This window comes from Homo sapiens, chromosome 10 (assembly GCF_000001405.40).
Source record: "Homo sapiens chromosome 10, GRCh38.p14 Primary Assembly".
NCBI classification, from domain to species: domain Eukaryota; kingdom Metazoa; phylum Chordata; class Mammalia; order Primates; family Hominidae; genus Homo; species Homo sapiens.
In genome coordinates this window covers 7,331,874-7,347,929 of record NC_000010.11, presented here as the reverse complement: position 1 = coordinate 7,347,929, position 16,056 = coordinate 7,331,874, and the positions used below count along the sequence as shown (strand labels likewise).

At 42.7% G+C, this 16,056-nt stretch overlaps 1 protein-coding gene across 9 annotated transcripts in view, besides 2 other annotated features; it reads left to right on the top strand.

The window, feature by feature from the left end:
* SFMBT2 (Scm like with four mbt domains 2) overlaps window positions 1-16,056 on the top strand; it is a 252,867-nt gene that overhangs the window by 63,561 nt on the left and 173,250 nt on the right. The window lies entirely within an intron of this gene.
* Window positions 9,907-10,006: an enhancer, noted in NCBI's record as "active region_2974". NCBI's record gives its function as "activates an Ori minimal core promoter by ATAC-STARR-seq in GM12878 lymphoblastoid cells {active_cell/tissue: GM12878}" and the evidence as "EXISTENCE:reporter gene assay evidence [ECO:0000049][PMID:35858748]".
* Window positions 10,157-10,206: an enhancer, noted in NCBI's record as "active region_2973". NCBI's record gives its function as "activates an Ori minimal core promoter by ATAC-STARR-seq in GM12878 lymphoblastoid cells {active_cell/tissue: GM12878}" and the evidence as "EXISTENCE:reporter gene assay evidence [ECO:0000049][PMID:35858748]".

Genomic DNA, 16,056 nt, shown 5'->3' with positions numbered 1-16,056 from the left:
TTTGTAAGTACCGTTAATGGTTTTTTCAGTTAAGTGTATGTATTTATGTGCCCTTCTTGGGTGAATTTCTATGAAGGATTCTGCAGGGTGAATGTTGACATGAATAACTAACCAGCAAATAAGTGTCAATTAAAAATTCTATTACCATAATTGGCCGTGGCCCTTCCTCATCAAAGTACAGTATGTTTAGATCAAATTTAATTTTTTTTGAGATGCTTGCCTGCTTAGTTTCCCAATTTATCTCCTCTTTCTGCTAACAAAAGAAGCTGTTTTCCATTTAGAGGGGCATCTTTCTACGCTACCTACATGTGAATACTATGTTCAAACACTATAAAGATTTTTAAGTGTTTTTTAAAAACAAAGAGATTTGGTCATTTTTGCGGGTTTCTTTTCTCCTTCTAAATTTCATGGTCCCTTTTATCCTTTCTTCATGGATTCTCTACTTTTCTTTCTCAAAATTTCCCCTTTTCCTGAGGGATTTTTGCTTCCAGCTGATGTGAGGGCTTTGATGGTGTGGTTTATGTGTTAGGATTACAACTGCTGTTCCCAAAAGGCCCTAAAATGCTGTGGCTCAAGTTAATTTAGAAGTTTACTGCTCTTTCTTCCAAATTCCATGTCTGCATGGTGGAAGGCTGGTTCTCCTCCAGGTTGCCCAGCAAGAAAGAGGGAAAGGGAGAGGCTGGGGACAGCAGCTCACCTCCCACTAGCAAAACTCGGTCTCCTGGGATTCCACCAGGCCCTACCTAGTTACAAAGAGACTGGGAAAGGTACTCCCTAGCTGTGGGGCTCCTCCTTGCTAAAATCCCTGGGATGGGGAGGCTGCTTTTCCTACAACAAAGAAGGGAGGGAAAAAAGCCCTGGGGGACAGTTAGTCTCTGTCACAACTCATTTAGCTACACATTTTTGTTTTGTTTTGTTTTGTTTTGTTTTGTTTTGTTTTGAGACAGAGTCTGGTTTTGTCGCCCAGGCTGGAGCGCAGTGGCACAATCTCGGCTTACTGTAACCTCCACCTCCTGGGTTCAAGCAATTCTCCTGCCTCACTCAGCCTCCTGAGTAGCTGGGATTACAGGCGCCTGCCACCATGCCCGGCCAATTTTTTTTTTTTTTTTTTTTGTATCTTTAATAGAGAAGGAGGTTTCACCATGTTGGCCAGGCTGGTCTCGAACTCTTGACCTCAAGTGATCCTCCTATCTCGGCCTCCCAAAGTGCTGGGATTACAGGCGTGCACCACCTTGCCCAGCCTACAAAAAATTTTTAAAGATAACTAGTTCATCTTTGGAAAACATCTAAGGGAAAATGTAAGAGTGTTAAAATGTAAAAGAGAATGGTATTTTTTTTCCTTCATTTGGGAGTCAAAATGTATTGTCTATAGTTGATACACCAGTGTAGATTTTTAACACGTGATCTTTGCTGTTGATGGAATAGGGGATGCACTTTTCCTTGCATTAACGTTTAAAGAGATGGATGTTACCTGTACACAACATTTGTAAGAGACGGTTCTAAAAGGTTTGTTTTAAAAATTACCCGTGTCTTGCTCACATCCTCTGTTTCATGTCCTCTGTTTCAATCTGGTTTTTACTGTTTAAGATGAATGCAAGCAATCACCAAGACACAGCATCATAAAATGTTAGAACACCGGGGTCAGAAAGATCCTACAAGTGTCTAGAAGTAAAACAAAACACAACAGATTATTTTAAAAGGCTGGTGATTAAAATGTTTCGATTCAATCACTTTGCACAAGGGGATAAGAGCAAAAATTATACAGTGTGTATTATAGGATGCATATAGTCAAATGTCAGGCTCAAAATTAGGCCAGTAGCTTCTGCTGCTTGGACGTTAATCTTGAAGCAAGGAAGAATGAGGGAATTTCGGGGGGGTGAGGGCGACAGAGTTAAGGTGTTCAGTGCTTTTATTTTTGTCCTACACATGGTAGCAACCGAGTGCTCTGCGAAATAGCAGTGACCCGTTATTCCAGAGTCAGGGACTGTTCTTGGCACTCGAAGTGGAATGTTGAAGTGGAAGTTTTGCCTCCCAGAGGATTTCCGTTCCAGCTAGTGTCTGTGTCGCTGTGAAGACATGGAGGAAGGGTGAATGCCATTTATGCAGGAGATTCTAGAACACTCGGTTAAGACCATCTGTTGATGGGTCTGGGGAGAAGGGAAGGACACACTTCTGTGTTTGTGGCTATTTGCTGCTAGGCAGCTTGTTGATACTCCAACTCTTCTGTAGTTGTAGACTTGGCCATAGAATGAAGAATGTAAAAAAGATATTTGGGCTGGGCACGGTGGCTCACGCTTGTAATCCCAGCATTTTGGGAGGCCAAGGTGGGTAGATCACGAGGTCAGGAGTTCGAGACCAGCCTGACCAACATGGCAAAACCCCGTCTTTACTAAAAATACAAAAATTAGCCGGGTGTGGTGGCACATGCCTGTAATCCCAGCTACTTGGGAGGCTGAGGCAGGAGAATTGCTTTAACCTGTGAGGCAGAGGTTGCAGTGAGTGGAGATCCTGCCACTGCACTCTAGCCTGGGTGACAGAGCTAGACTCTGTCTCAAAACAACAAGTAAAAATAAATATTTTTGTAGTTATTAGTTTATTAAACTGTAATTTTCTTATTTCTGTAGGAGATAATTATGTATTTAGAATGGTCTTGAAGGGACATCATGACATCTAGAGAGGTCGTTTGAAGCTACAAGGTCTGGGACATGGAATTTGTCTTTTATAAGCCCTGGCACCTTCTAAGGTGTCTCACTTGCAGACCCCAGGGAAGCCATTCAGCTTTCTGATTCTGTGGTGGTTTCTGTTCCCTCCACGGAGGTTCCTGGCTCCATCTCTCTGTGAAGCCCTGTCAGGGTTCTTTCACTTTCCTTGTTTGTCTCCTTTTTCTCCTGATTGCCTGAAATCACATTACAACTCTCTTGTATCATCTTTATCCATGTGCCACAGCTCTTTTTTTTTTTTTTTTTTTTTTGAGACAGAGTCTCGCTCTGTCGCCCAGGCTGGAGTGCAGTGGCGCAATCTCGGCTCACTGCAAGCTCCGTCTCCTGGGTTCACACCATTCTCTTGCCTCAGCCTCCCAAGTAGCTGGGACTACAGGCACCCGCCACTGTGCCCGGCTAATTTTTTTGTGTGTATTTTTAGTAGGGACAGGTTTTCACTGTGGTCTCGATCTCCTGACCTCATGATCCACCCTTCTTGGCCTCCCAAAGTGCTGGGATTACAGGCATGAGCCACCGCGCCTGGCCCATAGCTCTTAAAAAATAGGGATAAATTATAGACAGAACAGCCAAATGAGAACTTTCTTGATTCCCTCTCTTCTTGCATGGTGGTTGTATTAGTCAGTTCTCATGCTGCTAATAAAGACATATCCAAGACTGGATAATATATATAGAAAAAAAGGGTTTAATGGACTCACAATTCCACATAGCTGGGGAAGCCTCACAATTATGGCAGAAGGCAAAGGAGGAGAAAGGCACGTCTTACATGGTGGCAGGCAAGAGAGCTTGTGCAGGGCAACTTCCCTTTATAAAACCATCAGATCTTGTGAGACTTACTCACTATCAGGATACCAGTATGAGGAGAACTGCCCCCATGATTCAATGGTCTCCACCTGGCCCCACCCTTGACACATGGGGATTATCATAATTTTAGGTGAGATTTGGTTGGGGACACAGCCAAACCATATCAGTTGTCCACCCACACGGAACTCACCTTCCTAACCCATGAAATGCAAAAATGCCTAATACTTCAGTGTTAGGGATATGAAAAGACAGAAAAAATATTTCCTCTCTTCCCCTAGGAAGCTGACTTGTGCATGCACAAATAGGACAAGAGATTAAACCAGGAAGGCACGAAAAAGCCCCTGACTACTTCAGTCAAATTATAGCTTACTGTGGTATCTTTCAGAGCATATGAATAATTGTGAATTGGCCTATGATCTTTGGGCCAGTGGAAGAGAATAATATTAGGGATGAATATTTTCTCTTCTCATCTCATCTAAACTCTCAGGAGATGTTATCCAACAACCATGCCAAGATTCTTGGAGGAACAGAACAGCCATTGAAGATGTTGTAGTGATAACGTCACATTTTCTGCCCCCTCAAACCCAAAGTCCCCATGGTCTTAACGGTTTGCTTCTAAGTTAGAACCATCACCTTATTCCACCAACATCAGTATGGTTTTCTTGTGTAGAAAGGCTTCTAAAAAAATGGGCAAAGGACATGAATAGACACTTCTTGAAAGAAAACATACACATGGCCAACAAGCATATGGAAAAATGCTCAATATCATTAATTATTAGGGAAATGCAAATCAAAACCACAACGAGACACCATCTCACACCAGTCAGAGTGGCTATTCTAAGAAATTCACAAAATAACAGATGCTGGCGAGGTTGTGGAGAAAAGAGAATGCTTAAACACTGCTGGTGGGAATGTAACTTAGTTCAGCCACTGTGGAAAGCACTCTGGAGATTTCTGAAAGCACTTAAGTTAGAACTACCATTCAACTCAACAGTCCCTTATGGGCAATACCCAAAGGAATAGAAATCATTCTACCTTAAAGACACATGCACGTGTGTGTTCACCACAGCACTATTCATAATAGCAAAGGCATGGAATCAACCTCAATGCCCATCAACAGCAGACTGGATAAAGGAAATGTGTTACACATACACCATGGAATACTACGCAGCCATTAAAAAAAAAAAGCAAGATCATGTCCTTTGCAGCAACATGGATGTATGTCCCTGGAGGCCATCCTAAGCAAACTAATGCAGGAACAGAAAACCAGATGCTGCATGCTCTCACTTAGAAGTGGGAACTAAATAGTGAGTACAAATGGACATAAAGATGGGAATCATAGACACGGGGGCCTACTTGAGAGTGGATGGTGGAAAGAAAGTAAGGATTAAAAAACTACCTATCAGGTACTAGGCTAATTATCTGGGTGACAAAATTATCTGTACATCAAATTACTCTGACACCCTGACACATATGTATCTCCTCCTTCTCCCCACAAAAAAATCTAATAAAATTCTTCAAAAGATGTGGAAATGTTAGTAACATTGCTTTCGACAATTTTTGAATCAAAGTGGTTTATGTTTTGGCTCATTTCCCAGTTGTTTCCTGATAGTTTTGGGTAAAACAAAGGAAATATGGACACGAGTGATTATATTTTTTAATAATGGAGTTAGGTAAATAAACTTCCTTTGGTGATTGAAAGACTCACTCCAGGCCGGGCGTGGTGGCTCACGCCTGTAATCCCAGCACTTTGGGAGGCAGAGGCGGGCGGATCACAAAGTCAGGAGATCGAGACCATGGTGAAACCCTGTCTCTATTAAAAATTCAAAAATATTAGCTGGGCGCGGTGGCGGGTGCCTGTAGTCCCAGCTGCTCGGGAGGCTGAGGCAGGAGAATGGCATGAACCCGGGAGGCGGAGTTTGCAGTGAGCCGAGATTGCACCACTGCACTCCAGCCTGGGCGACAGAGCGAGACTCTGTCTCAAAAAAAAAAAAAAAAAAAAAAAAAAAAAAGACTCACTCCAGTGCAATTCCTAAATTCTGTAGGCTCTCCGTCCCTTCTAGAAGGATATTCTGGTTCCCCCATCCATTCAGTTTACGAGTCAAATTTGCACAGGCATGTATGCTTATGTGTGCTTAACATATTGGCAGTAGGTCAATAAATGTGCTCTAAACTCACGTAATATCCCTGTTTGCTTGTCATAACAGACACATATATACTGGAGTTCTCTTTAGTACTATCCAATTCGCTGGTATTTGGGTTGTTTCACTTGGAGACCTTGGAGCCTTCACAATGAACACATGGTAACTTTTTTTTTTTTTTTTTAATGAGGCAGTGAGCTGCGGACCAAGTAGATTTAAGAAGGAAAAAGGAATTAATGAAGGTCTTCAACTTCTCAACTCTTCATTGGCACACTCAACTAAAAACTGGAGCTCAAATAACTATTTGCTCTGGTTGGCACCTTTCCTTTTGCTAAAAGAATGGCAAAATGCCCCTCCATTCTGCTTTGAAAACTTTTTATTATGGGAAACTCAAACATAACCAATAGTAGACAGAATATATAGTGAACTTCATATGCTCGTTACCCGACTTCAGCCATGAGCTGTTCAAAGCCATCCTTGTTTAATCAATATTACCACCCTCGTTTTCCAGACTCTATTGCTTTGAAGGAACTCTTAGACATCATTTCATTTCATCTGTAAATATTTTAGTATGTGTCTGTAAAAGATAATTCTGCACATGTGTGTGTAGAATAATTGCCAAGCTCTGGTATTTAAAGAGGGTCTTTGTTTACGAAATGATTTCTACAACGTGGAGCCAAAAATGGATTTAAAAAATACCCTTCTAGGGGAAGTTAAATGCAATGTATCTTCTTCTATCTCCTCAAAAATTTGTTGAATGAATAAAAACCAAAATTAGATCAGCACCCCTCTTCCTCTCCAAACAAAAGCAAAACAAGAAAAAGGAATACTTTTTATATTTTAAATGATGTCTTGGGAACGGAAAATTTGCATTTCTCTTCCCTTAGTAGAACCAGAATGAACGTTAGATTTAAATGTAGTAGGTTTGGGTTTGACTGTGGTGGTGAAAATGGCTTTGTGTTACTGAATAGCTGTAGCTGCCCCATATTTTGCATTTTCAGATGTCCAGTCAAGTGAGCACTAATCCTTAGTGTCCACAACAGGAACGTTCCCGCTCTGCCCCTGATACGAGCTTGGATGGCCATGAGGCCCGAGGAAGTTCACTGATTGCCTTAGGTGAATTGATTCCATGCTAATACTGGAGTACTCTTTGTAATGGCTTTTCTGTAGAGACATATTAGGAGTAGAAAACATGGAGGTGCCCTCTGCTGCTTCACATTTCACGCTGCAGAAAAGATGAGCTTGTTCTGTCCTGGGTGCTTTGAAACTGGCATTTGGTTCTATAGAGTGCTCCTGGTTATCTGCATGGGCTTTGTTTTTCAGCTGGAGTGATTGTTAAATCAAGTCATGCTCTTCCCCAGACATGCCTTTAGTTTCTGTGTACCCCAAAGAATCCCTGCAGTTTCTGTCCCAGTTACTTTGTTTGTTAATTTTCTAGCTTTTTTTTTTTTTTTTTAAGTCAATGACTGCTGGGACCTCGCACTGGTTGGCAGTGTGCTCCCATCTGCTCTCTTCAAGCTGAGGTCACAGACGGGCTCCTAAGGACGTGACACCTCATCTAGTGATACTCAGAAGCTATTGTTTTGCAGTATTTTTTTTTTTTTTTTTTTTTGAGATAGGTTCTTGTTCTGTTGCCCGGGCTGGAGTGCTTTGGCAGGATCATCATGGCTCACTGCAGCCTCCACTTCCTGGGCTCAAGCCATCCTCCTGCTTTGCTTGAGCCTGTTGGTTGTAACATTGAGAGACAAAATAACCTGGGAAGAGTGCAGAGTGCATGCAGGACTGACTTAGAAAGGTTGTGTTAGCTGGGGAATGGGGATGGAGCAGACTTAGAAGCAGATGTGAAGCATCTTAAAAACAACTACAGTTGACCCTTGAACAACACGAATTTGAAGTGTGTGAGTCACTTATACGTGGCTTTTCTTTGCCTCTGCCACCCACGAGACAGCAAGACCAACTCCTCCTCCTCCTCCTCACCTACTCAGCATGAAGATGAGAGGATGAAGACCTTTACGATCATCCGCTTCCACTGAATGAATGCTAAATATATTTTCGCTTCCTTTTGATTTTCTGAATAGCATGTCTTTTCTCTAGCTTACTTGTTGGTAAGAATACTGTACATAATGCATAGAACATACAAGCGTAACAAATCCCAAAATGCTGGGATTGAGGCCGGCCCCTGATGGATCCCCACCGACTGTGGCTGTCTCAGGAACCTGCATGGCTTTCACTTGCACACTCATGCCCCGTCAGACCTGTGTGAATTGGTTAGTGTTAAGGCCCTAAGCACTCATTTGCGTAATGAGAGTCTTTCACTTAGAAACTAGCTCATCCTGCTGACCCTCTGGGCCAGCATTTAGCATCTGTACCTGGAGCCTCGGCTGTGGGAACTCTGGCCACCGGTCTAGGCATTATCATGAGGGGAGCCCTGTTAGAACAGAGGATTCTCAAAGGCTTATTTCTTCCCTCTGACAGTCATGAAGTGGGTTACATTCATGTAAGTTGGAGGAGATTTATTCAGTGCTTGCTCTGAATGACGAAGTTGGCCTGTCTAAGGGAAGCTCAGATGCCATGGAATGCAGTTCCCAGCCCACTTCAGTCCCTGTGAAATCTGTCAGCGGATGCCTTTTAAGGATGCAGTCTAATTTGTGGAGAGTAAGATATAAGGCTTAGGGGTGATGAAGATCACAGCTCTGAATTGAAGCAGATTTTAGAGCTATTAGAATCCTATGCAGTGCACCTATCAAAACATACATTTCTGATGAAAGAAATTTTATTCCGAAGTCAAATTATAGTTGTTTCAAAATAGGAAGAAAAGAAGTATCTTCAGCTCTTAGCATTTTTCTGATGTTAAGAACATATCCATTTATTTTTGCCCTAAAGAGAAGTTACAAAGCATCCAACTCCTTTGTGTGGAATTGATTTGAGTAAGTGTGAAGCAAAAAGCCAATTCAGTTTTATCGAAACTTATTTGTTTTCATTAAAAAGCCAATATTTATTTATTTATTCATTTATTTATTTATTCATCGAGATGGAGTCTCGCTTTGTTGCCTAAGCTGGAGTGCAGTGGCGTGATCTCTGCTCACTGCAACCTCCGCCTCCCGGGTTCAAGTGATTCTTCTGCCTCAGCCTCCTGAGTAGCTGGGACTACAGGTACCTGTCATCATGCCTGGCTAATTTTTGTATTTTTAGTAGAGACGGGGTTTTGCCGTGTTGGCCAGGCTGGTCTCGAACTCCTGACCTCAGATGATCTGCCCACCTCAGCCTCCCAAAGTGGTAGGATTACAGGTGTGAGCCGCTGTGCCTGGCCGCCAATTCAGTTTTAAATAGAAGATTTGAAATTAAGCAAGCGTCCTGTACCTGAACAGCAGACATTACCCTGAAGAGCCTGTTGGTTGTAACATTGAGAGACAAAATAACCTGGGAAGAGTGCAGACTGCATGCAGGACTGACTTAGGGAGGATGTGTCCGCTGGGGAATGGGGATGGAGCAGACTTAGAAGAAGATGTGAGCATCTTGAAAACAACTTCAGTTAACCCTTGAACAACACGAGTTTGAACTACGTGAGTCATTTATACGTGAGTCATTTATACATGGGTTTTCTTCTGCTTCTGCCACCCCTGAGACAGCAAGACCAACTCCGCTTCCTACTCCTCCTCACCTATGTAGTGTGAAGATGATAAGGGTGAAGACCTTTATGATGATCCACTTCCGCTTAATGAATACTAAATATATTTTTGCTTCCTTATGATTTTCTTAATAGCATTTTCTTTTCTCTAGCATACTTGACGATAAGAGTACCGCACATAATACATAGAACATACAAAATATGTGTTCATCAACTGCTATCAGTAAGGCTTCAGGTCAACAGTAGTGTTTTGGTAGTTAAATTTTGGGGGAGTCAAAATTTATATGCAGATATTTGACTTTTGGGGGATTCAGTGGAAAAACTAGAATTTCAGTTTTACAGGGTCAATTGTAATTCCAGTGAAGTTCATGCACATTTTACTTATTTTTTGAGGTATGGCAGAAGTGATTCTCTTAGGGCAAATGTGGTCTGTGTGAGATGAATTGATTTTCCCTCTTGGTGAATTTCCTCACTGGTTAGCCCAGAGCAGGACAAGGCAACTTATTGTTATTTTTCCCCTTAGCTACTGTCATTTCTGTACCGTGGAAGACAATGAGAGCTGTTGGTTTGGTTTAGGAGGTCACATGTGTGGAGGGCTGGGTTAGCATGGATAGTGGAGACATCAAAGTGTTAAAGACCTCAGTGAAAAGCTCTGAGTTAGCAGATGTGCAGCAGAGTTTGCTGTGAGGTGAGGACAAGCTGTGTTTTGGGGGCCAGGCTGGCAAGGATTGGTGCTCCAGAAAGTATTTGAAGATTAATTTGAATTGAACTGGAAACATGACTCATTGTGGTCCAAGTGTTATAGACTGAATCTGCCATTTTCGTCTTCAGTTGATTCCAGGGCAGGTACAGAGGGCCTGATAGAAGATGGAACAGGAGCTCTTATGGTCTTGGGTGCCTGTGTTATTATCCATTCTCACACTGCTACAAAGAAATACCCAGGACTGGGTAATTTATAAAGAAAAGAGGTGTAATTGGCTCACGATTCCACAGGATGTACAGGAAGCATGGCTTGGGAGGACTCAGGAAACTTACAATCATGGTGGAAGGCGAAGGGGAAGCAGGCATGTCTTACGTGGGCTGGAGAAAGAGGAAGAGAGAGAAGGGGGAGGTGCCGCACACTTTTAAACAACCAGATCTCATGATAACTCACTTTTACCATGACAAGACCAAGGAGGATGGCGTTAAACCATTAGAAACTGCCTGCACGATCCAGTCACTTCTCACTGGGCTCTGCCTTCAACACTGAGGATTACAATTGTACATGAAATTTGGGTGGGGACACAGATCCAAACCATATCAAGGTGGAACCTTGGAATAGAATGAAATGATGCTCTTGCAAAGAAACCCTGTCCTCATGCAGGGGAGCAGCCTACGTTTTCTATCTTTGGGCCTAATAGCAGCGGCTTTGAACAGATATCCATACGTTTAGTAGGACATTTGACTACCATGGCATTTTGCATCCTTGTAAGCTTTCATCTAAACCACAGTTTTATGAAAGATTCTCTCAGGAATAGAGACACTCCCTCATTAAATCACTGTACATATTAAGTCAGTGCACACAGTAAGTCATGGTGCATCATATCAATGAAAAGAAATGGGCTATTTTATTCTTTTCATTGGGTTAAATCTTACTGGTGACAGAAAGTACTCCAACAGTTGATACTGTAAATAGTTGGGTCTAATGGTACGTTGCCTGGCTTGGTTCTCTGAGTTTTTCTCATTGAATACCCTCTGTCTCTGTTCTGTCTTCACGCACTTTATTCCTGATCCTCAGTTTTCTCTCAGCTGTTCTGCTAAAATTGCATGTTCTGGTCTCCAGCAGTTCTCTTAGTGTGAAACTCAGTGGCCTTTCCCTGTTAACCTTCTCATAAATTTGTTACATTTTTCATTTGATTACTCCCTCAGTTCCCCCAATGTTAGTTCCCTAGTCATTCACTATCCGGATCTCTCTGATTGATTGATTGATTGATTGATTGATTGATTGAGACAGGGTCTCCCTGTGTCACCTAGGCTGTAATGCAGTGGCATGATCATAGCTCACTGCATCCTTGAACTCCTGAGCTCAGTGATCCTCCCGCCTCAGCCTTCCCAAGTGCTGGAGTTACAGGTTTGAGCCACTGTGCCCAGCCTTATCCTGATATCTCATTACATCTCATTTCCAGTGATTCTTCATTCTTCTGCCTCATTTTAATTTGCTCATATGATGCAAGATAAATAAAACATTCTCCAAAAGTTGCCTTGAAGTTTGGTGGTGTGGCTCTGCCATGAAGACCCATGAGTGTTGATTTTCTTAGGCAAGCCAGTCTAGAAATTTTGCGGTCAGCTGTGGGCTTTTACTATCTGTAAAACTCTTGCAGGAGCCAAGTATTACTATTGTATCCAGAGAGAATCCTAGCTAATTCTAGTGTAAAGAAATCAGTGAGGAGAAAAGTAAAACATAATTATGCAGGAAAGTAGGCTTTTATGACTCAATTAACATATTTTACAGCGTTTTATTACTTCAAGGCAATATTTAATTTACAAATGATTTAAGATTTTAAAAACTGTTGGAACTGAGTTAAGATGGGTGGAAATATTAAGTACTTCAGTTTTTCTGTGCTGCCTGATACTTTGTACTAGCCAGTAAAATATTTGTTAAAGAAGTGTTTGTCCTTCCTTTGAGGTATTTTCTTTTTTTTTCTTTTTAGTGGCTGAGTCTATTGGAAGGGCCTTAGTTATACATCATGCCATATGGTATTAGTGACAAAAATATTTTGAGGATAGATTTAATAACTAAAACAATTAGGTTAGAAGGCCATTGTGAGAACGCTTGGCCAGTTGCTTTCAGATTTAATCCTTTGTTACGTTACAGTCCACAGAATGTAGTGTCTTTTGCCTGAGATACAGAAAGTGTTATTTCTGATGTGGATTGGATTTTGGCTCATTTAGAGGACGTCACCAATCCTATACAACAGAGCAGGATGGATTTCTTTTCTAAGTTAATATGAAGTGTTCTGTGCAATTTATGTATATGGTTGTGTGTGTGTGTGTGTGTGTGTGTGTGTGTGTGTGTGTTTCTGTTTCTGTTTCTGAATATCTTTTAAGGTGTTACTTTTTTGAGAAAGAGAAATTTATTGGACGTTTTAATTGTGGTGGTCTGCAGATTCTCCATAGCAACCGGGGGTGCAGGCTTACTCCAGAAGCAAGTAGCAGTTGGGGTCACCAAGTAATGCTGTTCTATAGATTATACCGGTGAGCTGCGTCTGCATTTGATGCCTCCTAAGATAGTGTGATATAGTTGGATTGTAAGAAGTTGGGTCATGGTTTTTGTTTGGATTTTAAAAATTGTCAAATAGACATAACATACAATTTGCAATGTGGACCAGTTTTAACTGTACAGTTTGGTGGCATTAATTATATTCACGTTGTCGTGCAGCCATCACCATGGGCCGGAGTGCTTTCCTCTCCCCCATTGGAAACTCTCTACATGTTGAACGTGGTTCCCAGTCCTTACCCCCTTCTCTGGGCAACCACCGTTCTGTTTTCTCTTTCTATGAATTTGACCACTATAGAAAAAGATCAGTTTCTCCCAAACTTTGCCTAAATCCCCAAATAGATTCCTTTTCCCCCCTCCGGCTTCTTTTGAACATTAAAGCATCCTGGTGATTTATGCTCCCGCCTCAATTCCTCCCTAGCTTCTGTCTGGCTGTGTCAGGCCTGTTTCAGGTGTTAATTTCTGTGATCATTTCCCTGGTAAACTCCTGGATGGCAGGTTCTAGGTTTTATTCCTGTCGTCCTGGAACTTCACGCTTGTCTCTGATGCAGTGCAGGCCTCAGCTCCGTAGGGAGGTTAACAAATGAAGCTGAGTTCCGCAAGGCAGCCCAAAGCACTCGAGTTACAATTGCAGACAGTGGGAAACGGCAAGTCAGAGGAAGAGCGCTGGGACACTGGGCCGGGTCTGCGTTAGTGGGTTTGTCAAGAGCCACGGAAATCCTTTTACCCTGCCTCTCATGGAATAATGCTTTAGTTAATGTCTGTATCGGTGACAGGTCCCGCTTTTAATGAGCAGCTCACTTATAAGGTCTGAGTATGATCAGGAACCTTTAGGAACAAACACTCTGTTGTGGTCCTGGTTGTGGGACTCAGGGACACAGTGTTCTAGTCCCCGTTTAATGACACTTCTCGTTTCCTGTATTGTTCCATTTTGGTACAGTTAAGGATTGGGAGCTAATTCCAAAGAGGTTTCGTTAGCTGTGATGGGGAGCTGATGAAGAGGCAGCCTCTTAGACACGGAAGGCAGCACACAGCAGGCCGAACTGTGTGTCTGAGCATCAGGCTCCTGGTGGTGGCTTTGGCTGTGTCACTGGGAAGGTGGAGGGGGTGGCCTCTCGGAGGCTGCACGGTGGGTTTCTGAGCCTGGTTCTCCAGGCCAGGTGGATGTGACGGTGCCTGGCTGTCAGCGGCCAGGCCGGCTGTGGATGACGCTTGCCTTTTTCCTCTTGATAGACCATCATGTTGCTCCCATCGTCAGCAATGAGTTGTCGTGTCCTGAGATGAACTCCCTGTTGTCGGAGGCAGGGGAAGAGCCGTCGCGTAGCACATCCGGTGTGTGTGTCTGCTTTGTCAGGCCCACTTCACAAAATACGTTTGAAATATGAAGTTTCCCCAGATAAACTGTGAAGGGTGAAGAGTGCTTTAGATGTGTGCTTTCCCCAGATTTTATTTACTTATTTGTTCCCAAACTCATTTCCTGCCTTCCCGTGTTTCTGCAACACCAGCGCTTCCTAGTGTGAGCCTTAAAGAAAGACGATATTTAACAAAAGAAGAAGGGGAGGAAGGAAAGAAAGCGGGAGTGGGGGAGAGAGAAAGCGGGGAGGCCCTGTGGGGAGCTGGGGTGGGGAGGCCTTGCGGGGTGTTGGGGAGAGAGAGAGAGAGAAAGCGGGGAGGCCGTGTAGGGAGTGGGGGAGAGAGAGAAAGCTATGTGAAAGGTGAGTCAATGAAAACTTTTGCATTTATAAATTACCCAGTCTCCAGTATGTCTTTATTAGCAGCGTGAGAAAATACTAATACACCCCATCTCTACCAAAAAAAAAAAAATTAGCTAGGCATGGTGGCACACACCTGTGGTCCCAGCTACTCGGGAGGCTGAGGCAAGAGGATTGCTTGAGTCTAGGAATTCGAGGTGGTAGTGAGCTATGATCATGCCACTGCACTCCAGCCTGGGTATCAAAGTGAAACCCTGTCCCTTAAAAAAAAAAAAAAAAGGTAAGCCTCAAAGTTATCCTCATCCACCAGATATTTACTAGGTGCCTGTAATATGCCAGGCATTATGGTGTGTCCTTAAACCTTTATTTGAAGAAGTTATTGGGCTCAAAAGATATCTGAATTTTTCTACCCATATTTTATTTGTGCTAGTCTTCTATTTTTCCTTATCTCTCAAGTTGATAAAGCTCTCATGAAGCTAAAGTATGATCAGAAAAACTTGTTTCTGGCAAGGCGCAGTGGCTCACACCTATAATCCCAGCACTTTGGGAGGCCAGGGTGGGCGGATCACCTGAGTTCAGGAGTTTGAGACCAGCCTGGCCAAGATGGAGAAACCCCATCTCTACTAAAAGTACAAAAATTAGCTGGGCGTGGTGGTGTGCGCCTGTAATCCCAGTTACTCGGGAGGGTGAGGCAGGAGAATCACTTGAACCCAGGAGGCGGAGGTTGCAGTGAGCTGAGATCATGCCACTGCACTCCCGCCTAGGCAACAGAGCAAGAGTCCGTCTCAAAAACAAAAAAAGAAAAACCTCATCTCCATTAGACTCACTGTGTAATTTCTCTTTGGCCTATTCTGAGTTCCTTTGTTAAGGCTTCCAAGGTGCTGCCTGCACCCAGTGCTGTGCTGTGAATAGTGACCTCAGACTGGTTCTCTATTTGTGTGTTTGTTCTTGCAATTCTGTCATGGACATTAATGGAAATATTTAGGTTTTAGTGAAATAATTTTTTTTTCCTAGGAGAATGAAATCAATGGGCCCAGTAGACTTGTTTTCACTTTGGCTTGTTTTAATAAAAAGCATTTTTATAAGCTGGGTCGGGGAGGAAGTGAACATTGTAAAAATTTCTCAAACATTTGTTATTTTACAAGCGCAAATAAATATGTCTGTTTAATTTAAAAAGTTAACTTATTGAACAATTCCTTTTTCTGCACCTTCCCTCCCCAGTTAAGGCAAACTATTAAAGAATATGCATAAATAGTAGAGCTTTTAATTGCTATTGATGAATAGCACCCTTTTGCATGTCTTTTATGTCAAGCCTTGGGTGAGCCCTGTTTTTGTCTTATTAACACACATTCGTAGCGTCTTCTCTCATTTGGATGTAGATTTAGATGCTCTCTTAGCCACTCTTCTCAGCCTTATTGAAGTTCATCCACTGAAACACTTGCAAGAAACAGAATAAAGTAGAAAAGTCTCAGCTGTAGAAACCTACAATAAACTGCAGTTACACACAGAAACCCAGTGGCTCATTGGTACCAAGAGCCAATACCAGTAGCCTCCATAGGTGACCATCACTCCGCAGATGACTTCGGCGGTAGATGACCTGTAGGTCTGGAAGAGCTGTAACCATTCACCTTTCCTTTTTTTTTTTTTTTTTTTTTTGAGACAGAGTCTCATTCTGTTGCCCAGGAGACTGTAGTGCAATGGTGTGATGATCTCGGCTCAGTGCAACCTCTGCCTCTGAGCTTCAAGCGATTCTCATGCCTCAGCCTCCTGAGTTGCTGAGAATACAGGGGCGCACCAC